The sequence below is a fragment of the Homo sapiens genome, chromosome 19 (genome assembly GCF_000001405.40).
Source record: "Homo sapiens chromosome 19, GRCh38.p14 Primary Assembly".
Classification (NCBI taxonomy): domain Eukaryota; kingdom Metazoa; phylum Chordata; class Mammalia; order Primates; family Hominidae; genus Homo; species Homo sapiens.
In genome coordinates, this window is record NC_000019.10 from 14443441 (window position 1) to 14466016 (window position 22576).

The window sequence follows — 22576 nt, forward strand, 5'->3', positions numbered from 1 at the left end:
GGTGACTCTCTCCCACCTGTCGCCTCCAGATGGCCCCCAGTCCCCTGGTGCGGGTGGCCCCACCTGCTCGGCCACCAACCTGAGCCGCGTGGCGGGCCTGGAGAAGCAGTTGGCCATTGAGCTGAAGGTGAAGCAGGGGGCGGAGAACATGATCCAGACCTACAGCAATGGCAGCACCAAGGTGAGGCAGCACGTGCACACACACTGTGTACACACACCACACCTGTGTGCGTACAGTCCACCCACATGTGCACACCTACCTGCATGTGTACACATGTGTCCCTGTGTGCACACGCCCACTCAAATGTGCACCCACACCTGCGCATGCACACCCCACACGTGCACACCCATCCGCATGTGTACACACCTGTCCACGTGTACACACACCCACTCAAGTGTGCACCCACACCTGTATGTGCACACACTCACTGGCATGTACTCCCACATCTGTACATGCACACACCTACCTGCGTGCATACACGCTCACCCACATGTGTACACACCCCTGCAAATGTGTACACACATATGCATACACCCACCACACGTGCACACACCTGCATGTGTACACACCCTTGAACGTGCACACACAGCTGCACGTGCATGCATACTTGCACACACCCACATGTGTGTATACCAGCATGTGTACATACACCCCCCATGTGCACACACACCTGCACATGCACACACACCTGCCTGTGCACCTGCACCTGCATACACATTTGCAATGCACATGCACATGTACACACCCACACGTACACACCCACCCGTGTATCTGCACACACACCGCACATGTATGCACATGCCTGTGAGCAGATCACAGGCTGGGGGCATAGGGTGCAGCCTACAGCTGCCCCCATGGGAGGCTGGGAGCCTTTGGATTGGGGACATACTGGCTGATGGGTGTAACTTGGTGTCAGGACTAAGGCACAGGCAGCTCATGGGGGCATATGGGAAGCATGACTATGGGTGATGTCAGACAGACGTGGCAAATTGTCTCCCCTCCTCCCACAGTCCCCTGCAGAGCCTCAGGCCCATCCACAGTCAGGGCAACATGCCGCCTCTCACTGCTGACGGTGTGTCCTGTTACAAGCACACACAGTCATGTCATACCTTGACACACACACACCATCATAACATCTAGACACACACACACACATGCTGTCATAACATCTAGAGACACACAGTGGTAACAACATCTAGCAACACATGGAGAATCCCACCACAGCCACATCTGGACACACACACACACTCTTACATTCATACCCAGAGACTGGTGCACAGACACACACACATCCCCCGTCCTGCCAATCAGTCCCAGGAACACACAGGTCTCTATCAACACCCAGAAATTCTGACACCACAAGCACAGGCCAACCTACAGCTAGAGGATTAATGTCCAGACCCACAGGCTGGTGTGCGCATGTCCTTCCACGTGAATGTCACATGGGAGGACAGACTGCATGGATTTTTTTAATGACACTATTTTATTTATTTTTTGAGACAGAGTCTCACTCTGTCGCCCAGGATGGAGTGCAGTGGCGTGATCTCGGCTCACTACAACCTCCGCCTCCTGGGTTCAAGCGATTCTCGTGCCTCAGCATCCCAAGTACCTGGGATTACAGGCGCATGCCACCACGTCCCGCTAATTTTTGTATTTTTAGTAGAGATGGAGTTTCACCATATTGGCCAGGCGAGTCTCGAACTCCTGACCTCAGGTGATCTGCCCACCTTGGCCTCCCAAAGTGCTGGGATTACAGATGTGAGCCACCTTGCCTGGCCTAACATTATTTTATTTATTTAATTTATTTTTATTTTTATTGAGACAGGGGTCTGTGTTGCCCAGGCTGGACTCGAACTCCTGGGCTCAAGCATTCCTCCTGCCTTGGCCTCCCAAAGTGCTGGGATTACGGATGTGAGCCACTGCGCCCCATTTATCAATTGGTGGACATTTGGTTGTTTCCACCTTTTTAGCGATTGTGAGTAGTTTTGCTATGAACACCTGTGTACAAGTATTTGAACACCATTCTATGAAAATTTAAAACCTAGATCAATTGTATATCTTTTACATGTATCTGAGCGTTATACAAAAAAAGAATAAGAGTTTCTCACCCCCTAAGAATTTCTGCCCCCCGCCCTGGGGGTAATACTGACCCAGTGAAAATGAATAGAGTAGGCCAGGCGCGGATCCCAGCACTTTGGGAGGCTGAGGCAGGCGGATCACTTGAAGTCAGGAGTTCAAGACCAGCATGGCCAACATGGTGAAACCCGAGCTCTACTAAAAAAATACAAAAATTAGCCGGGCGTGGTGGCACATGCCTGTAATCCCAGCTACTCGGGAGGCTGAGGCAGGAGAATCGCTTGAACCTGGGAGGCAGAGGTTGCAGTGAGCTGAGATCACACCACTGCACTCCAGCCTGGGTGACAGAGCGAGATTATGTCTCAAAAAAAAAAAAAAAAAAGCTGGGCATGGTGGTGGGCGCCTGTAATCCCAGCTACTCAGGAGGCTGAGGACTCCATGGACTACATCATGCCACTGTATCCAGGAATGCATGGAAGTACATTTATTTACTTATTTATTTATTTTGAGACAGGGTCTTGCTCTGTTTCCCAGGCTGGAGGGCAGTGATGCAATCTCAGTTCAATGCAGCCTCCAACTCCTGGGCTTGAGTGATCTTCCCACCTCAGCCCCCTGAGTAGCTAGGACCACAGGTGCACACCACCACGCCCAGCTAATTTTTGCATTTTTTTGTGGAGACAAGGTCTTGCCATGTTGCCCAGGCTGGTCTTTAACTCCTGAGCTCAGCAGTCCACCCGCCTCAGCCTCCCAAAGTGCGGGGATTACAGGCATGAGCCACCGTGCCTGGCCTGCAAATGCATGTTGTTACATCCACATGTGAACACTCTGCCACAGTCACCTAGGACCTGCATGGTGTGGCTAGACCCCAACCACCTAGCCTTCCTCTCTCAGACTGTCTCTGCCTCCAGGACCGGAAGCTGCTGCTGACAGCCCAGCAGATGTTGCAGGACAGTAAGACCAAGATTGACATCATCCGCATGCAACTCCGCCGGGCGCTGCAGGCCGGCCAGCTGGAGAACCAGGCAGCCCCGGATGACACCCAAGGTGAGTCCCTTGCTTCCAGGCAGCTTAGCCTGCATCTCGCCTTGCAGGGCTCAGCCTCCAGCTCCATAATGAGTCCCTTTCTGGGGCAGGGAGGTGGGTCCTGTGACCCACTGTGAGACTTCAACACATTCCTGACCCTCTCTGGGCCAGAGCTTCCCATTTTGTCCCATGCAAAGTTTGGATTACATCAGGGGTTGGTAAATTACCACCTTCAGACCAAATCTATCCATTGTCTTTTTTTTGTCAATAAAGTTTTATTGGTACCCAGCCACGCCCATTCATTTACTATGTTTTTGACTGCCTGACTATTCTGAATAATGACCCTGGCACTTGGTCACAGAGAGTCAGACACTCACAGTCACACTGTGTCCACATGTGTCACTCACCTGGACACCAATAACACAGACACAGTTCCAAGGAAGTTGATAGTCACAGGTATGTTGCCTTATAAACACAGTCTCGGCTGGGTGCAGTGGCTGACGCCTGTAATCCCAGCACTTTGGAAACCGAGGCGGGCGGATCATTCGAGGTCAGGATTTCGAGATCAGCCTGGCCAACATGATGAAACCCTGTCTCTACTAAAAATGCAAAAATCAGCTGGGCGTGGTGGCACGCAGCTGTAGTCCCAGCTACTCAGGAGGCTGAGGCAGGAGAATCACTTGAATCCGGGAGGCGGAGGTTGCAGTAACCCAAGGTCGCCCCACTGCACTCCAGCCTGGGCAACAGAGTGAGACTCTGTCTCAAAAAAACACACACAAAAAAACACACAGTCTCACTGTCACCCCTAGACCTGCTGCCACATGGCGCTTTATCAGTCACTGGGACTTTTAGGAATAAAGTCATCCAGTCACCCATCCTTGCGACAACACCCAGAGACAAAGGAATGTGTGATCCTACCATCACACATAGTCACTGTGAAGTCCATGTGGATATCCACAGTACAGGCACACAATCACGTGCACCGTCGCACTGACACACACTGCAGGGACACACTTTTTTTTTTTGTTTTTTTTTTTAGATGGAGTCTCGCTCTGTTGCCCAGGCTGGAATGCAGTGGCACAATCTCTGCTCACTGCAACCTCTGCCTCCCGGGTTCACGCCATTCTCCTGCCTCAGCCTCCTGAGTAGCTGGGACTATAGGCGCCCACCACCACACCCGGCTAAATTTTGTATTTTTTTTTGAGACGGAGTCCTGCTCTGTCGCCCAGGCTGGAGTGCAGTGGTGTGATCTCGGCTCACTGAAAGCTCCGCCTCCTGGGTTCATGCCATTCTCCTGCCTCAGCCTCCCAAGTAGCTGGGACTACGGGCACCTGCCACCACGCCTGGCTAATTTTTTTGTATTTTTAGTAGAGACGGGGTTTCACCATGTTAGCCAGGATGGTCTCGATCTCCTGATCTCATGATCCGCCTGCCTTGGCCTCCTGAAGCGCTGGGATTACAGACTTGAGCCACCACGCCCTACCAATTTTTTGTATTTTTAGTAGAGACGGGGTTTCACCATGTTAGCCAGGATGGTCTCGATCTCCTGACCTCGTGATCCGCCTGCCTTGGCCTCCCAAAGTGCTGGGATTACAGGCATGAGCCACCGTGCCTGGCTGACACACTTTTTTTGTTTAGACAGGGTCTTGCTCTGTTGCCCAGGCTGGAATGCAATGGCGCGATCATAACTCACTGCAGGCTTGACCTTCTGGGCTCAAGCAATCCTGCTGAGTAGCTGGGACCATAGGCGTGTGCCACCACACCCAGCTTATTAAAAGAAATTTTTTTTTTGTAGAGACTAGGTCTTGCCCAGGCTGGTCTCAAACTCCTGACCTCAAGTGATCCTCCTGCCTTACCCTCCCAAAGTGTTGAGATTATAGGCGTGAGCCACTATGCCTGGCCTGTGCCCCTTTTCTTGACCCTGTGCTTGGGCATAAATGCATTTGTGTCTGTGACTGTGTTTCTCTGCCCCTATAATGGTGTCCCTGTGCCCAAGATGACAGGGCCGTGTCTGTGTAACAGAGTCTGACTCATGACAGTGTCTCTATGTGGCAGGGTGACTACATCTTTGTGACAGAGTATGTGTTCCTCTGGTGATAGTGTGCCTACGCTGGTGACAAAGTGGTAATGCCATGTGTCCCTGTGGGCGACAGTGTGACAGTGTCAGTGCGACAGTGCCTGCCTTACTCTCCTTGGGCCGCCATAACAAAGTCCCATAGGCTGAGTGGCTTAAACAACAGACATTTATGTTTTTCACAGTTCCAGAGACTGGCAGTCCCAGATCAGGGTACCAGCATGGTCGGTTCCTGGTGAGGGCGCTCTTCCTGGCTTACAGATGGCTTCCTTCTTACTGCTCCCTCACAGGGAGAAAGAGCCTTAGTGTCTCTTCCTCTTCTTATTTTTCATTATTAGTTTTTTGAGACAGGGTCTTGGTCTGTCACCCAGGCTGGAGTGCAGTGGCGTGATCACAGCTCACTGCAGCCTCGACTTTCTGGGCTCAAGTGATCCTCCTCGTTCAGCCTTCTAATAGCTGGGACTACAGGCACACGCCACCATGCCTCGCTAATTTATTTTTTATTTTTAGTAGAGACAAGGTCTCTCTATGGTGCCCAGGCTGGTCTCAAACTCCTGGCCTCAGGTGATCCTCCTGCCTCAGCCTCCTAAAGTGCTGGGATTACAGGCGTGGACCACTGCACCCAGCTTCTTCCTCCTCCAATAAGCGCGCTAATCGCATCATGATGGCCCTCCCTCCATGACCTCCTCTAACCCTAATTACCTCCCAAAGGCACTTGGAGAAGTCCAAGTGCCATCCCACTGGGGATTAGGGGTTCAACATAGGAATTTGGTAGGAGACAAACATTGAGTCTCTTAACAGTGTCTTTGTGACTGACACCGTCTGTGTAAATGTAGTATGCTGTGGTTGTCCAGATGTCCATGAGTGTCACCATGCCTGGTTGACTGTGTAACCTGGTGACTGTTCATTGGGGAATGAGGTGTGTCAACACGGGTATGACAGTATTATTATTTTTTTTTAATGACTTAGAGTCTCACTCTGTCACCCAGGCTGGAGAGCAATGGCGCAATCTTGGCTTACTGCAACCACCGCCTCCGGGGTTCAAGTGATTCTCCTGCCTCAGCCTCCTCAGTAGCTGGGATTACAGGCATGCGTCACTGTGCCCAGCTAATTTTTGTATTTTTAGTAGAGAGGGTTTCACCATGTTGGTCAGGCTGGTCTCAAACTCCTGACCTCAGGTAATCCACCCGCCTTGGCCTCCGAAAGTGCTGAGATTACAGGCCTGAGCCGCCATGCTTGGCCTATGATTTAGATGTTCCTGTCTGTTTGGGTGACAGCCCCTGGGTGACAGTGTCTGAATCTAGATAATGTGGCTGTCCCTGGGGGCCACAATGTGCCTGCGTCTGTCCCTGTGCAAATCACTGGAGGTGAAGAGGGACCGTGACAATGTGTGTGTCGGTAAGCGTGGGGTGACAGTGTGCCTGTGTGTCATTGCTCAGACTGTCCCCTGTAACAGGGTAACTTTTTCCCTAGGACTGGCCCTGTGAGTGATGGTGTTTGGATAAAAGAGTCTGGGTGGAAGTGTGGCTGCCTGCAGGTGACAGTGCGACAGTGTCACTGTGCCTGCCCCTTGGATGAAGCGTGATGCATCTTCATGATGGTTTGTCTGTGGCCCGTGCCTGTTCCTGCGAATGGCTGTGTCTGCGACTAGGTTGGTGGGGCGCTGCAGGCTAGCCTCACTGCCCTGTATTCCACGCTCACAGGGAGTCCTGACCTGGGGGCTGTGGAGCTGCGCATCGAAGAGCTGCGGCACCACTTCCGAGTGGAGCACGCGGTGGCCGAGGGTGCCAAGAACGTACTGCGCCTGCTCAGCGCTGCCAAGGCCCCGGACCGCAAGGCAGTCAGCGAGGTGAGGGGCGGAGCTTTCATTAGAGGCGGGGCTTCAGCAAGGGGCGGTGCTTCAGCAAGCGGCGGGGAGTTCACCAGGAACACCCACGGTGAGGGGTGGAGCCTCAAAGGGGGTGGGACCTTCATAAGGGGTGGGGCCTCAGCCAGGGTAGACTACTGTGAGGGGCAGGGCATCAGGCAGGAACAGTGCAACTGTGAGGGGCGGGGCCTCAGCGAGGGGGCATGGTTTCAGGCAGGAATGGCCCTCGGTGAGGGGAGGGGCCTCTCCAAGGGGCGGGGCCTGGTTTTCCCAGAGGTGGGACCAAGTTGGTTTGAGGTTTAGCCCTCTAGGGAGGAGCTCAGTGTGAGACTCAGCCTGGGGGTGGGGCCTAGGCCTGCACTTGGGAAGGGGCAAGCCTGGTCCCGCCCCCAGCCCCCACACTTCCCACCACAGGCCCAGGAGAAATTAACAGAATCCAACCAGAAGCTGGGGCTGCTGCGGGAGGCTCTGGAGCGGAGACTTGGGGAGCTGCCCGCCGACCACCCCAAGGGGCGGCTGCTGCGAGAAGAGCTCGCTGCGGCCTCCTCCGCTGCCTTCAGCACCCGCCTGGCCGGGCCCTTTCCCGCCACGCACTACAGCACCCTGTGCAAGCCCGCGCCGCTCACAGGTGGGTCTGAGACCCTACCCCACCCCTGCAGCCCTGGGCCTCCGACTCCTCTCATTTCCCCATTCCTGTGACCCCCGACTTCAATCTCCGCTCTCCCCAACCCTGGACTCCCATTCCACCACTGTCTCCTCCCCTCCTTTGCCCTCTGATTCTGGGCTCTTGCCCACCCCCCCCACACCTCAGTTTCTCCATCTCTCTTCACCTGGCCCAGTATTTTTCTCCCAGCCCTTGTTCCCCAGCCCCACCTCGGCCTCACAACGCTCAGCCATGAGCCTCCTACCCGCCTGCTGCAGACCAGCCAGCCCCACCTTCCACAGACCCCTCAGCCATCTACCCCTCCAGACCAGCCCCACCGTAGACCCCTAGCCCATCTTAGACCTCAGATTGTCCACCGAGTCCTCCCCTAGAACCCCTAGTCCTACCCTGTTCCTGCTTGCCTGGGCCTACGGCCTGTACCCTGAGCCTACGGCCTGTACCCTGAGCCTCTCTTCTGCCCCTAAACTCCCGCATCTGAGCCCCTCCTGGAAGGACTGCTTCTCTCATATTCTCCTATCCCAGCACGGACATCCCGGCCTCATGCCCCATGCTCCATTCTGGTTGTCCCTCACTGGCTCCCACTTGTACCATGGCTGCGTCTGGATGTGTCCCCTCCCCGCTGTGGTCCCCTCCGCTCAGCCTGCCCCAGAAGTGGCCCCCTGCTGAGCTTTCCCCTCCTGCAGGGACCCTGGAGGTACGAGTGGTGGGCTGCAGAGACCTCCCAGAGACCATCCCGTGGAACCCTACCCCCTCAATGGGGGGACCTGGGACCCCAGACAGCCGCCCCCCCTTCCTGAGCCGCCCAGCCCGGGGCCTTTACAGCCGAAGCGGAAGCCTCAGTGGCCGGAGCAGCCTCAAAGCAGAAGCCGAGAACACCAGTGAGTGGGCATCGTGGGCCCTGAGAAACGAGGTGGCATTGGGGACCTGGAATGCCCCATATTTGTAAACCTTTAAAAAATAAGCCAGGGGTCGGGTGTGGTGGCTCACACATGTAATCCCAGCACTTTGGGAAGCCAAGGTGGACGGATCACTTGAGGTCAGGAATTTGAGACCAGCCTGGCCAACATGGTGAAACACTGTCTCTACTTAAAAATACAACTTAGCTGGGCATGGTGGTGCACACCTGTAATCCCAGCTGTTTGGGAGGCTTAGGCAGGAGAATTACTTGAACCCGGGAGGTGGAAATTGCAGTGAGCCATGATCACGCCATTGCCCTCCAGCCTGGGTGACAGAGTGAGACTTTGCCTCAAAAGAGAACGAAAACAACAACAAAAACAAAAAAACAGGCCAGGTGCAGCAGCTCATGCCTGTAATCCCAGCACTTTGGGAGGCTGAGACAGGAGGATCACTTGAGGCCAGGAGTTTGAGACCAGCCTGGGCAACATAGCAAGACCCTGTCTCTACAAAAAATAAAATGTAAAAATTAGCCAGATGTGGTGGCCCACACCTGTAGTCCTAGCTGTTCTAGAGGTGGGAGGATCACTTGAGCCCAGTGAGCTATCATTGAGCCATTTCACTCTAGCCTAGATGACAGAGAGACCCTGTCTCTAAATTAAAAAAAAAGAAAAAAAACTTCAAGTTTATTTAGATTAAAAAAAAGGCTGGGCGTGGTGGCTCACGCCTGTAATCCCAGCACTTGGGGAGGCCGAGGCGGGTGGATCACGAGGTCAGGAGTTCAAGACCAGCCTGGCCAGCATGGTGAAACCCCATCTCTACAAAAAATACAAAAAAATTAGCCAGGCGTGGCGGCGCGTGCCTGTAATCCCAGCTACTCGGGAGGCTGAGGCAGAGAATTGCTTGAACCCAGGAGGCGGAGGTTGCAGTGAGCCGCGATTGTGCCACCGTACTCCAGCCTGTGCAACAGAGCAAGACTCCATCTCAAAATAATAATAATAATAATAAATAAATAAAACAAATTTAAAAAGAAAGGAAAACCAAACAAGAAACCAATATATCATATTCATTAGGATGACTAATACTATTTTAAAAACCCAACAAAACAAACAGAAAATAAGTGTTGGTGAGGATGTGGAGAGAAATCAGAACCTTTGTGCACTGTTGGTGGGAATGTAAAATGGTGCAGCCCTATGGAAAATATATTGGCATGGCCGGGTGCAGTGGCTCACACCTGTAATCCCAGCACTTTGGGAGGCTGAGGGGGCCAGATCACCTGAGGTCAGGAGTTCGAGACCAGCCTGGCTATCATGGCAAAACCCCGTCTCTACTAAAAATACAAAAATTAGCTGGGCATGGTGGTGTGTGTCTGTAATCCCAGCTACTCAGAAGGCTGAGGCAGGAGAATCGCTTGAACCCAGGAGGCAGAAGTTGCAGTGAGCTTAGATCGAGCCACTGCACTCCAGCCTGGGCAACAGAGCGAGACTCTGTCTGAAAGAAAGAGAGAGAGAGGGAGGGAGGGAGGGAGGAAGGAATATTGGCAGTTCCTGAAACAAGTAAAAACAGAGTAAGCAGTCCAGGCGCAATGGCTCACACCTGTAATTCCACCACTTTGGGAGGTCAAGGTAGGTGGATCACCTGAGGTCAGAAGTTCAAGACCAGCCTGGCCATCATGGTGAAACCCCATTTCTACTAAAAATACAAAAGTTAACCGGGCTTGGTGGTGGTGCACGCCTGTAGTCCCAGCTACTCTGGAGGCTGAGGCAGGAGAATTGCTTGAATCCGGGAGGCAGAGGTTGGAGTGAGCAGAGATCATGCTACTGCACTCCAGCCTGGGTGACAGAATGAGACTCCATCTCAAAACAAACAAACAAACAAAAAAACAAGAGTAACCATATGATCCAAAGCTACTTCTGGGCATATCCCCAAAAGAATTAAAAACAGGGCCTCGGACATTCCATAATGCATACATATTTCAAAACAACATGTTGTGCATGATAAATATATATAATTTTTATTTGTCAGTTTTAAAAATAGTGATAGAAAAATATTTAAAAAAAAAAAAAAGGGTCTCAGAGATATGTATACCTGTGTTCATAGCAGCATTATGAAAGCCAAAAATGGAAGCAACCCAGATCCACCAATAGATGAATGGGTAAACAAAACGTGGGCCAGCCATGCAATGGAACATTGCTCAGATTTAAAAAGGAAAGAAATCCTGCCAGGCGCAGTGGCTCATGCCTGTAATCCCAGCACTTTGGGAGGCCGAGGCAGGTGGATCACTTGAGGTCAGGGGTTCGAGACCAGCCTGGCCAACATGGTGAAACCCCATCTCTATTAAAAATACAAAAATTAGCCGGGTGTGGTGGCACATGCCTGTAATCCCAGCTACTCAGGAGGCTGAGGTAGGAAAACCGCTTGAGCCCAGGAGGCAGGCGTTGCAGTCAGCCAAGATCATGCCACCGCACTCCTGCCTGGGTGACAGAGTGAAACACTGTCTCAAAAAAAAAAAAAAAAAAAAGGAAAGGAATCCTGTCTTATCCTGCAACACGGATGAATCTTGAGGACATTAGTCTAAGTGAAATAAGCCAGTCCCCAAAAGACAAATATTGTATGATTCCAGTTATATGAGGTTCCTAGAGTAGTTAGATTCATAGAGACAGAAAGTAGAATGATGGATGCCAGGGAGTAGAGGGAGGGGGAATGGGGAGTTTATTATTTAATGTGGACAGAGTTTCAGTTTTGTAAGGTGAAAGTTCTGGAGATGGATGGTGGTAATGGTTGCACAGCAATGTGAATGTACTTAATGCCACTGAACTGGATGGACACTTTAAAGTGATTATGATGGTAAATTTTATGTTACATGTATTTTACCATAATTTTTTTTTTCTTGAGACAGATTCTCCTCTGCTGCCCAGGCTGGAGTGCAGTGGCACCGTCTCAGCTCACTGCAACCTCTGCCTCCTCGGTTTGAGCGATTCTCTTGCCTCAGCCAACCCAAATAGCTGGTGGGATTACAGGCGTGCGCCACCACACCCGGCTAATTTTTGTATTTTTATGGAGATGGGGTTTCACCATGTTGGCCATAATTTTTTTAAAAGAAAATTTGATTCGTAATCTCATGGCAAAAAAGGAAAAAGAAAGAAAATTAATACGTATGTACAAAAAAAAAAGGGAGTGTGGAGAAGAGTAACAGGAGAGCAGACACCCATATTACCACCACCTGCGTTAGGAAATAGAATATGGCAGCCAGGTGCCACGGCTCATGCCTGGAATCCCAGCATTTTGGTATTTGTAGGAGGATCACTTGAACCCAGGAGTTCAAGACCAGCCTGGGCAACATAGCAAGACCTTGTCTTTACAAATAATTTAAAAATTGGGGCATATGGCCAGGTGTGGTGGCTCACGCCTGTAATCCCAGCACTTTGGGAGGCCGAAGCGGGTGGATCACAAGGTCAGGAGATCGAGACCATCCTGGCTAACACAGTGAAACCCCAACTCTACTAAAAATACAAACAATTAGCCAGGCGTGGTGGTGGGCGCCTGTAGTCCCAGCTACTCGGGAGGCTGAGGCAGGAGAGTGGCATGAACCTGGGAGGCAGAGCTTGCAGTGAGCCGAGATCGCGCCACTGCACTCCAGCCTGGGTGACAGAGCAAGACTCTGTCTCAAAAAAAAAAAAAATTGGGGGTACATGTCATCAGGCCCTCCTGAATCTGTGTCACAGAAAAAAAAACTAAAGGGAAAAAAAGAGAAGACAAGCCAACCAAAAATTAACCAGGCGTGGGCATGGTGGCTTGTGCCTGCGGTCCCAGCTACTTGGGAGGCTGAAGTGGGAGGATTGCTTGAGCGCAGGAGGTCAAGGCTACAGTGAGCTGTGATTGCACCACTGCATTCCAGCCTGGGCAACTGAGCGAGACCCCATCTTAAAAAAAAAAAAAAAGGAAAAGAAATAGAATATTTCCAGCTCTCCAGAAGCCCCCTCTTGTCTCCTCCACAATTCCATCTCCTTCCTCTGCCATAGAGGTGGCTACTCTCCCGACTTTTATCATTTCCTTGCTATAATTTGTAGTTGTAGAACCCCATGTTTGCATCCCCAAAAACTTTTGTTTAATTTTGCCTGGTATTAGAACTTTATATTGACAGGCTCATACAGACTATTCTATCACATGGCTTCTTTCATTCAACATTGTTTAGGGGCTAGGCATAGTGGCTCATGCCTGTAATCCCAGCACTTTGAGAGGCCGAGGTGGAGGGATTGCTTGAGCCAAGGAATTTGAACCCAGCCTGGGCAACATGGTGAAACCCCACCCTACAAAAAAATGCAAAAAACAAAACCAAACTAAAAAAAGCATTGTTTTGGTAGACTCATCCATTTTGTTGTGACAAGCTATAGTTAATTCATATTTATTCCTGTTTAGTAATCCATTATGTTAGACTGAGCCATATCGAATTGCCTCTTTCTGAAAGCAAAAAAATAGTTAAATATCAGCAATTTCGTACTTCAGCTACTAAGATGGTATAGCAGTTTTAAAATATTAATTCTCCTGTTAATGGACTGTGGGATGCCTCTATTTTGGACTGTTACATACACTTTATATAAATGCATCTCCTGATGTATACCCACATGCATTTGGCTAGGGTAAATCCTCAGGAGTGCCTGGGCGCGGTGGCTCACGCCTGTAATCCCAGCACTTTGAGAAGCCAAGACCAGTGATCACTTGAGGTCAGGAGTTCAAGACCATCCTGGCCAACGTGGCAAAACCCCATCTCTACTAAAAACACAAAAATTAGCTGGGCATGGTGGTGTGCGCCTGTAGTCTGAGCTACTTTGGAAGCTGAGGCACGAGAATTGTTTGAACCCAGAAGGTGGAAGTTGCAGTGAGCCGAGATTGTGCCACTGCACTCCATCCTGGGTGACAGAGAGAGACTCTGGCTCAAAAAATAAATGAATAAATAAATCCTTAGGAGTATGTGGCTGGGACTTCCATGTAGAATAAAATTGAATTTGGATCCCTGCCTCACATCACACCATGTAAAAAAATCAACTGGATTAAAGGCTTCAATGTCAAATGCAAAACTTTACAGTGGGAGAAAAGTTATGGAGGGGAGGATTCATTTTAAAAAGATAGCAGACAGCTAGGCCTGGTGGCTCATGCCTGTAATCCCAGATACTTGGGAGGCTGAGGCAGGAGAATATCACTTGAGGCCAGGAGTTTGAGACCAGCCTGGGCAACATAACAAGACTCATCTCTACTGAAAAAAAAAAAAAAAAAGAAAAAGATAATAGACATGCCCCTTTCTGCCAGGATTTTCTTTCTTTTTCTTTTTTTTTTTTCTTTTTTTTTTTTTTTGAGATGGAGCTTCACTCTTGTTGCCCAGGCTGGAGTGCAGTGGCGTGATCTCGGCTCACTGCAACCTCTGCCTCCTGGGTTCAAGGGATTCTCCTGCCTCAGCCTCCCGAGTAACTGGGATTACAGGCATGTGCAACCACGCCTGGGTAATTTTTTATTTTTAGTAGACATGGGGTTTCACCATGTTGGTCAGGCTGGTCTCAAACTTCTGACCTCAGGTGATCCACCTGCCTCAGCCTCCGAAAGTGTTGAGATTACAGGCATGAGCCACTGTGCCTGGCCGTTTTTATTTTCTCTTCTCTTCTCTTCTCTCTTTTCGACCGAGTCTTGCTGTGTCACGCAGGCTGGAGCGCAGTAGCACGATCTTGGCTCACTACAACCTCTGCCTCCTGGGTTCAAGTGATTCTCCTTCCTCAGCCTCCCGAGTAGCTGGCATTACAGGCGCGTGCCACCACGCCCAGCTAATTTTTTGTATTTTTAGTAGAGACGGGGTTTCGCTATGATGGCCAGGCTGGTCTTGAACTCCTGGCCTCAAGTGATCGCCTGCCTCAACCTCCTAAAGTGCCGGGATTACAGGCATGAGCAACCTTGTCTGGCTACTGCCAGCATTTTCTGACTGGGCCCTCTCTCCCATTTCAGGTGAAGTCAGCACTGTGCTTAAGCTGGATAACACAGTGGTGGGGCAGACGTCTTGGAAGCCATGTGGCCCCAATGCCTGGGACCAGAGCTTCACTCTGGAGCTGGAAAGGGTGAGCTGCGTTGGAGGACAGCAGGGCCTAGAGGAGGAGGGGTTCCATGCCTCTGGCACCCTGAGTGATGGCCCTCTTCCTCTCCCTCCAGGCACGGGAACTGGAGTTGGCTGTGTTCTGGCGGGACCAGCGGGGCCTGTGTGCCCTCAAATTCCTGAAGTTGGAGGATTTCTTGGACAATGAGAGGCATGAGGTGCAGCTGGACATGGAACCCCAGGGCTGCCTGGTGGCTGAGGTATAGCCCACACCTGACCCTGAGAAAATGCTTCTTCTCCCTCACTGCCCCATTCCCAGTTTCCTAGAAGGGGAAAATATGTTTTAGGTCTGGCTCTTCCAGAAGGGGAAGATAAGTTTTAAGTCAGGCTTTTCTAGAAGAGGAAAATAGATTTTAGATCCAGCTCTTCTAGAAACGGAAGATATGTTTTAACTCTGCCTTTTCTAGAAGGAGAAGATACGTTTTAGGTCAGGCTCTTCCAGAAGGGGAAGAGACGTTTTAGGTCTGCTTTTTTCTAGAAGGGAAAGATATGTTTTAGATCAGGCTCTTCTAGAAAGGGAAGATAGGCTTTTGATCTGCCTGTTCTAGGCTGGGCGTGGTGGCTCATGCCTGTAATCCCAGCACTTCGGAAGGCTGAGGCAGGAGGATCACCTGAGGTCAGGGAGACCAGCCTGGGCAACATGGTAAAACCGCGTCTCAACTAAAAGTACAAAATTAGCTGGGCGTCGTGGCACATGCCTTTAGTCCCAGCTACTTGGGAGGCTGAGACAGGAGAATCGCTTGAACCCAGGAGGCGGAGGCTGCAGTGAGCTGAGATCCCACCACTGCACTCCAGCCTGGGCGACAGAGTGAGACTCTGTCGCCCAGGAGTCTCACAAAAAAAAAAAAGATCTGCTTGTTCTAGAAGGGGAAGATACATTTTAGATCAGGCTCTTTTAGAAGCATAAGATATGTTTTAGATATGGTTTCTCTTAATACAGAAAGATAGTTTTAGATCAGGCTCTTTCAGAAGTGGCAGGTATGTTTTAGACCCGTGTATTCTAGAAGGGGAAGATACATTTTAGATCTGTCTCTGAACCTTGATAGAAAAGTACACCTTGGCCAGGTGTGGTGGCTCACGCCTGTAATCCCAGCACTTTGGGAGGCTGAGGCAGGTGGATCACTTGAGGCCAGGAGTTCCAGACTAGCCTGGCCAACATGGTGAAACCCCATCTCTATTAAAAATACAAAAATTAGCTGGGCATGATAGTGGGTACCTGTAATCCCAGCTACTTGGGAGGCTGAGGCAGGAGAATTGCTTGAACCCAGGAGACAGAGGTTGCAGTGAGCTGAGATCACGCCATTGCACTCCAGCCTGGGCAACAGAGTGAGACTCTTGTCTCAAAAAAAAAAAAAAAAGAAGAAGAAGAAGAAGAAAAGCACTTCTAATTAGCCACATCAGTGATAGGACCTTAGCTGGGATTGGTTTTGTTCTGAGGCAAGATACTTAAAAAAAAAAAAAAAGAAGAAGAAGAAGCTGATTTCCAAATTTAGAAATGTTTAAAGAAAAAAGGAAATAAATTATAAAATTTCTTCCAACCAGGAAAGAGATACAAAACCTGGCAACATATCGTGGTGATTGCTACCAGAGCCACAGTCAAGAGAAAGTGATTCCTTCCACAGCTGTGTGAGGGTGAAGGTCTGAATTGAGGTGGCCTACCCTTGGCACTGTTGACATCTGGGGCCACATCATCCTCTGTGGTGGGGCTGTCCTGCATACTAGAGGATGTAGCACCTCTCCCCACTGCTTACAGGATGTCAGTAGCACCACCTCCCCCTGAGTTTTGACAGCCCAGAGGTCTCCAGACACTGTCAAGTGCTCCCTGGCCGGGAACCCCTGGTCTAAATGACATTTCTAGCTGAGTTCTCATAGTATAAGCCAGGCTCTGTAGCGAGTACTTTGGCGACGTGAACTCATTAATTCTCACAACCAACCAACAAAAGAGGGACTGTTATTACTCAAATTTGACAGAGGAGGAAACTGGGGCACAGAGAAGGGGCACTTGACCCCTCATTTAGCCAAATTATCCTAAAAAACTCTTTTAATCTTCCGCTAACCTATATGTGTACCCCATTTTACATATATATATGATAGATTACCTATATATGTATACACACACATATTATCTATTATTTACCCACCTACGTGTCCATCCATCCATTTTGTCTGTCTATGCATTCATCCATCCATCTTTTTTTTTTTTTTTTTTTTTTGAGATGGAGTCTCGCTGTCTCCCAGGCTGGAGTGCAGTGGTGCGATCTTGGCTCACTGCAACCTCTGCTTCCCGGGTTCATGCCATTCTCCTGCCTCAGCCTCCCGAGTAGCTGGGACTACAGGCACCCGCTACCACGCCCGGATAATTTTTTGTATTTTTAGTAGAGACGGGGTTTCACCCACCGTGTTAGCCAGGATGGTCTCCATCTCCTGACCTCGTGATCTGCCCGCCTTGGCCTCCCAAAGTGCTGGGATTACCGGCGTGAGCCACCGCGCCCGGCCCAGCCATCTTATCAATGCATCCTCTATCCATTGATAGATACACCTATATTATCTGTCTTATCTATGTATCCATCTATATTAGGTATCTATATCATCTATTTATCTAATCCATCTATCCATTTATCTATCTCTATCTATATATTATCTATCAACCAATCTATTTTTCCATGCATCCGTCTCTATTATCTGTCAGTCATCTTATCCATCAATCTTATGTATGCATCATCCATCCATCTATCCATCCCTGTATATTTCTCTGTATATATATCTACCCATTCCTCTCTCTATCTCTATCTATCCCTCTCTATATCTATCTGTGCCTCTGTTTTTCTCTATATAGCTATATCTATCTATCCATCCATCTATATTATCTATCAACTAATCTATCTTTCCGTCTACCCATCTGTCTATATTATCTATCCATCTATATTATCTATCTATCATCTTATCCATCCATCCATTTATCTTATCTATGCTCATCCCTCCATCCATCCATCTCTGTATATTCCTCTATCTCTATTTATATCCACCCATTCCTGTCTCTGTCTCTATCTATCCCTCTCTGTATCTATCTGTGTCTCTCTCTCTTTTTCTCTCGATAGCTGTATCTATCTATCCATCCATCTATCCATGCATCCTTCTCTTTCTATGAATCCCTTTCTCTATCAGTCCCTCTCTCTTTCTCTATCTGTAACTACCCTTCCGTCCATGCCCCTCTCTATCTACCTGCGTCTATATCTGTCTCTTTCTGTGTCTATTTATCCATCTCTCTATATCCATATCCCTAAGCAGAGGTTCTCCCCTGGTCTGACCATCAAGCACCAGTGAAAGAAAGGGGCGGGGCCAGGCACAGTGGCTCACACCTGTAATCCCAGCACTTTGGGAGGCTGAGGCGGGCAGATCACTAAGTCAGGAGTTCGAGACTAGCCTGGTCAACATGGTGAAACCCCGTCTCTACTGAAAATAGAAAAATTAGCCGGGTGTGGTAGCAGGCGCCTGTAATCCCAGCTACGCGGGAGGCTGAGGCAGGAGAATCAGTTGAACCTGGGAGATGAAGGTTGCAGTGAGCCGAGATCGCATCATTGCACTCCAGCCTGGGCAACAACAGCGAAACTCTGTCTCAAAAAAAAAAAAAAGAAAGAAAGAAAGGGGCGTGGAGAAGAGCTGACTCCAGATGGCAGAGGTTTAAAATTGTTCTCCCATTCAGAACACAGCCCAAACCAAATGGAAAGTGATGGTGGGTGGCCTGGGGGACACATTCTAAAGCGTTTCTCCTTGCCTTCAAGGTCTCTCTGTGGCATTCTATTTTGTTTTTATGCCTATACAGAAGCATTCTTCCATAGAACTTTTCTGCAGCTCTGGCCGGGCGCTGTGGCTCACGCCTGTAATCCCAATACTTCGGGAGGCTGAGGCGGATGGATCATTTGAGGTCAGGAGTTTGAGACCAGCCTGGCCAACATGGTGAAACCCTGTCTTTACTAAAAATACAAAAATTCGGCTGGGTGCGGTGGCTCACGCCTGTCATCCCAGCACTTTGGGAGGGTAGGCAGGCAGATCACCTGAGGTCAGGAGTTCAAGACCAGCCTGGCCAACGTGGAAAAACCTAGTCTCTACTAAAAATACAAAAATCAGCCAGGTGTGGTGGCGCACGCCTGTAATCCCAGTTACTTGGGAGGCTGAGGCAGGAGAATCACTTGAACCTGGGAGGCGGAGGTTGTAGTGAGCCAAGATCGCACCACTGTACTCCAGCCTGGGCAACAGAGTGAGACTGTGTCTCAAAAAAAAAAAAAAAGAAATTAGCCGGGCTTGGTGGTGGGTGCCTGTAATCCCAGCTGCTCGGGAGACTGAGGCAGGAGAATCTCTAGAGCCTGGGAGGTGGAGGTTGTGGTGAGCCCAGATTGCGCCACTGCACTCCAGCCTGGGCAACAGAGTCTCAAAGAAAAAAGGAACTTTCTGCAGCTCTGTTGTCGATGCACCCACAGTAGCTGAGTTCTGTTGTAGATGGAAATGTTCTCTATCTGAAGTGTGACCAGTGTGACCAGGGAACCAAAGTTTTAATTTCGCTGACATTTTCACTAATTTAAATCGCCACATGTGACAACCATACCAGACACTGCAGTTCTGTGACTTCAGCACCTTCTAGAAGTTGTATTGGAGTTGGGAGAATTCAACTTGACAGGTGGCTTCCATAGATGGGTGGGCACCAGCATTGCCTGGGGGCTTGTTGAAATACTGAGTGCTTTAGGGCCGGGCACGGTGGCTCGCGCCTGTAATCCCAGCACTTTGGGAGGCCAAAGTGGGCAGATCGCTTGAGCCCAGGAGTTCAGGACCAGCCTGGCCAACATGGTGAAACTCCGTCTCTACAAAAATACAACAATTTGCCAGGCATGGGGGTGCGTGCCTGTAGTCCCAGCTACTCAGGAGGCTGAGGTGGGAGGATCTCTTGAGCCCGGGAGGTGGAGGCTGCAGTGAGCCGAGATCGGACTACTCATATGTGCATATATATATGTGTGTATATATATATATGTGTGTGTGTATATATATATATATATAGAGAGAGAGAGAGAGCATGCGCGCGCTTCCTCCACTCCATGTTTCTGGCTCAGTAGGTCAAACCTGCGTTTCTAGAAAGTTCCCAGGTGTTGCTGCTACTGCAGGTCTGGGGTCTGGGAGCACATGTGGGGAATGGGGTGTGGGATGGCGTGGCGTCCGTTTGCAGTCGCTGTCTGTCAGTCTTGTTGGGTCAGATGCTCTCCCCACCTCTAGAAAGGGACCCGGTTGTTTGCTTCTTGCTTTTCCAAGACGTCCCTTCAGGAGGGGAGCCATGGGTTGCACCGATGACCTCTTCATTGTCACCTGGTACTCGGGTTGAATCTGATGCCACGTGACCAGAACCCCACTTGGGCGCGCACACCTGTGCTCCCAGGGGCTTCCTTACCAAGCTGTCTGCCTGCAGGTGGGCAGAGGGTCCTCACATTTTGGTCCCTTCCCCCAGGTCACCTTCCGCAACCCTGTCATTGAGAGGATTCCTCGGCTCCGACGGCAGAAGAAAATTTTCTCCAAGCAGCAAGGTGAGAGGGTGCTCCAGGCTTCCTGGGGGAGAGGCCAGGGGTCCTGGGAGTGTCATGGAGGGTGACGCCTGCCCCGTCCCCCCAGGGAAGGCGTTCCAGCGTGCTAGGCAGATGAACATCGATGTCGCCACGTGGGTGCGGCTGCTCCGGAGGCTCATCCCCAATGCCACGGGCACAGGCACCTTTAGCCCTGGGGCTTCTCCAGGATCCGAGGCCCGGACCACGGGGTAAGGAAGGAGGGCCCCATGGTCCCGGCTGCCCCTTGAAGCCTGCGAGGGTCCTGGGTCCCAGACACACCCTCCTCTCGTCTGCTGCAGTGACATATCGGTGGAGAAGCTGAACCTCGGCACTGACTCGGACAGCTCACCTCAGAAGAGCTCGCGGGATCCTCCTTCCAGCCCATCGAGCCTGGTGAGGGTCCCCCCTTCTATCCCCGTAGGCCTGGCCTGGGCAGCGTCAGGGGTCCTGCTCCAGGCTCAGAGACCACTAGGAACTTCCCTGGAGCCACGCAGCATGTCTGTGGCAGAACCAGGGCCCAGATCTCTATGCTGGTTAAAACGTGTGCCCAGATCCCCATCCTGGTTAAAAAACTGCTCATGCCTATAATCTCAGCACTTCTGGGAGGCTGACATGGGAGGATTGCTGGAGCCCAGGAGTTTGAGACCAGCCTGGGCAACACAGTGAGCCACTGTGAGCCATGATCCTGCCACTGCACTCCAGCCTGGGCAACATAGCGAAATACTATCTCAAAAAACAAAACAGGCTGGGCACAGTGGCTCACACCTGGAATCCCAGCACTTTGGGAGGCTGAGGCGGGTGGATCACTTGAGGCCAGGAGTTCAAGACCAGCCTGGCCAACACAATGAAACCCCGTCTCTAATAAAAATACAAGAATTAGCCGGGTACGGTGGTGGGCACCTGTAATCCCAGCTACCCGGGCAACTGGGGCAGGAGGATCAGTTGAACCTGAGAGGCGGAGGTTGCAGTAAGCCAAGATCATACCAATTGCGCTCCAGCCTGGGCGACAGAGCGACTCCATCTCAAAAAATAAAAATAAATAAAACTGTGAGCTCAGCGGCTGGACCCCCTGGGTTCCCACCCCTGCCGTGCCACCTCTTGGCTCTGCGCTTCACCTCTGTGCCTCAGTGTACCACTTTGCAAAACGAGCATATTTAAAACTCATGTCAATGATAGAATGATCGAGAGAGTGCTGTTCTCTAGGCAGAGGTTACCGCAAGCTGGGAGCCACAAGGGGACCTGCCGGGTGATGGAAATGTTCCTTATCTTGATCTCGGTCAGAGGTCAGCACGCGTTTTCCAGAAAGGGCCAGAGAGTCAATATTTTTGGCTTTGTGGGCTAGACAGTCCCTGTCTGCTTTGTAGTTTGAAAGCAGCCACAGACGATATATGTACACTGTAAGCGTGTCTCTATTCCAGTAAAACCTTATTGGTAGTACACGCGGAAGTTTGAACATTGTAGAACTTTCATGGGCAATGAAATATTATTCCTTTTTTTGTTTTTTTTTATTCCCCCAACGATTTAAAAATGTAAAAATCAGTTTACCTGTGGTCCCAGCTACTTGGGAGGCCGAGGCAGGAGGATGACTTGAGCCCAGGAGTTGGAGTCTGGCCTGAACAACATGGCAAAACTCCATCTCTTTTTTTTTTTTTTTTGAGATGGAGTCTCACTCTGTTGCCCAGGCTGGAGTGCAGTGGCGTGATCTAGGCTCACTGCAACCTCTGCCTCCCAGGTTCAAGGGATTCTCCTGCCTCAACCACCCGAGTAGCTGGGACTACAGGTGTGTGCCCACCACACCCAGCTAATTTTTGTATTTTTAATAGAGACGGGGTTTCACCTCGTTGGCCAGGCTGGTCTTGAACTCCTGACCTCAGATGATCTGCCCACCTCAGCCTCCCAAAGTGCTGGGATTATAGGTGTGAGTCACCATGCCCGGCCACTGCATCTCTTAAAAAAAAAAAAAATAGTGAAAGCCATTCTTAGCTCTTACAAACTATAAAAACAGGCTGGCCCACCAGCCAGCATTTGCCAACTCCTAGGCTGGCTGATGGTTTCCTGGGTGGATGCATATGTAACCTGTTCCTCTTGCCCACCTCACTGAATGCATTTTATTTATTTATTTATTTTGAGACAGAGTCTCACTCTGTCGCCCAGAATGGGCGTTGGAATGCAGTGGCGTGATCTCAGCTCACTCCAATCTCCGCCTCTCAGGTTCAAAGATGCCCATGCCTCAGCCTCCCTAATAGCTGGGACTAC

The 22576-nt window shown here is 50.4% G+C and overlaps 1 protein-coding gene across 2 annotated transcripts in view, besides 4 other annotated features; it reads left to right on the plus strand.

Annotated features, from left to right (window-relative positions):
- The window catches only part of PKN1 (protein kinase N1), a 38554-nt gene that overhangs the window by 10135 nt on the left and 5843 nt on the right, over positions 1-22576 (plus strand). For both annotated transcript variants that reach the window (NM_002741.5, NM_213560.3), the window contains exons 3-12: positions 30-181; positions 2986-3121; positions 6878-7023; positions 7456-7669; positions 8389-8583; positions 14591-14700; positions 14792-14935; positions 20227-20302; positions 20388-20529; positions 20620-20713. In NM_002741.5, the coding sequence (NP_002732.3) occupies positions 30-181; positions 2986-3121; positions 6878-7023; positions 7456-7669; positions 8389-8583; positions 14591-14700; positions 14792-14935; positions 20227-20302; positions 20388-20529; positions 20620-20713 (1409 nt within the window). The remainder of the gene's footprint in view (positions 1-29; positions 182-2985; positions 3122-6877; positions 7024-7455; positions 7670-8388; positions 8584-14590; positions 14701-14791; positions 14936-20226; positions 20303-20387; positions 20530-20619; positions 20714-22576) is intronic.
- Positions 777-1277: an enhancer, noted in NCBI's record as "H3K4me1 hESC enhancer chr19:14555029-14555529 (GRCh37/hg19 assembly coordinates)". NCBI's record gives its function as "activates a minimal SCP1, AML or CMV promoter by ChIP-STARR-seq in naive H9 embryonic stem cells {active_cell/tissue: H9 hESC(naive)}" and the evidence as "EXISTENCE:reporter gene assay evidence [ECO:0000049][PMID:30033119]".
- Positions 7035-7164: a silencer, noted in NCBI's record as "silent region_10252". NCBI's record gives its function as "represses an Ori minimal core promoter by ATAC-STARR-seq in GM12878 lymphoblastoid cells {active_cell/tissue: GM12878}" and the evidence as "EXISTENCE:reporter gene assay evidence [ECO:0000049][PMID:35858748]".
- Positions 7035-7331: a biological region, named in NCBI's record as "Sharpr-MPRA regulatory region 3261".
- Positions 7037-7331: an enhancer, noted in NCBI's record as "tiled region #3261; K562 Activating DNase unmatched - State 8:EnhW, and HepG2 Activating DNase matched - State 9:DNaseU". NCBI's record gives its function as "activates a minimal TATA promoter and a strong SV40 promoter by Sharpr-MPRA in K562 cells, with weaker activation in HepG2 cells {active_cell/tissue: HepG2 | K562}" and the evidence as "EXISTENCE:reporter gene assay evidence [ECO:0000049][PMID:27701403]".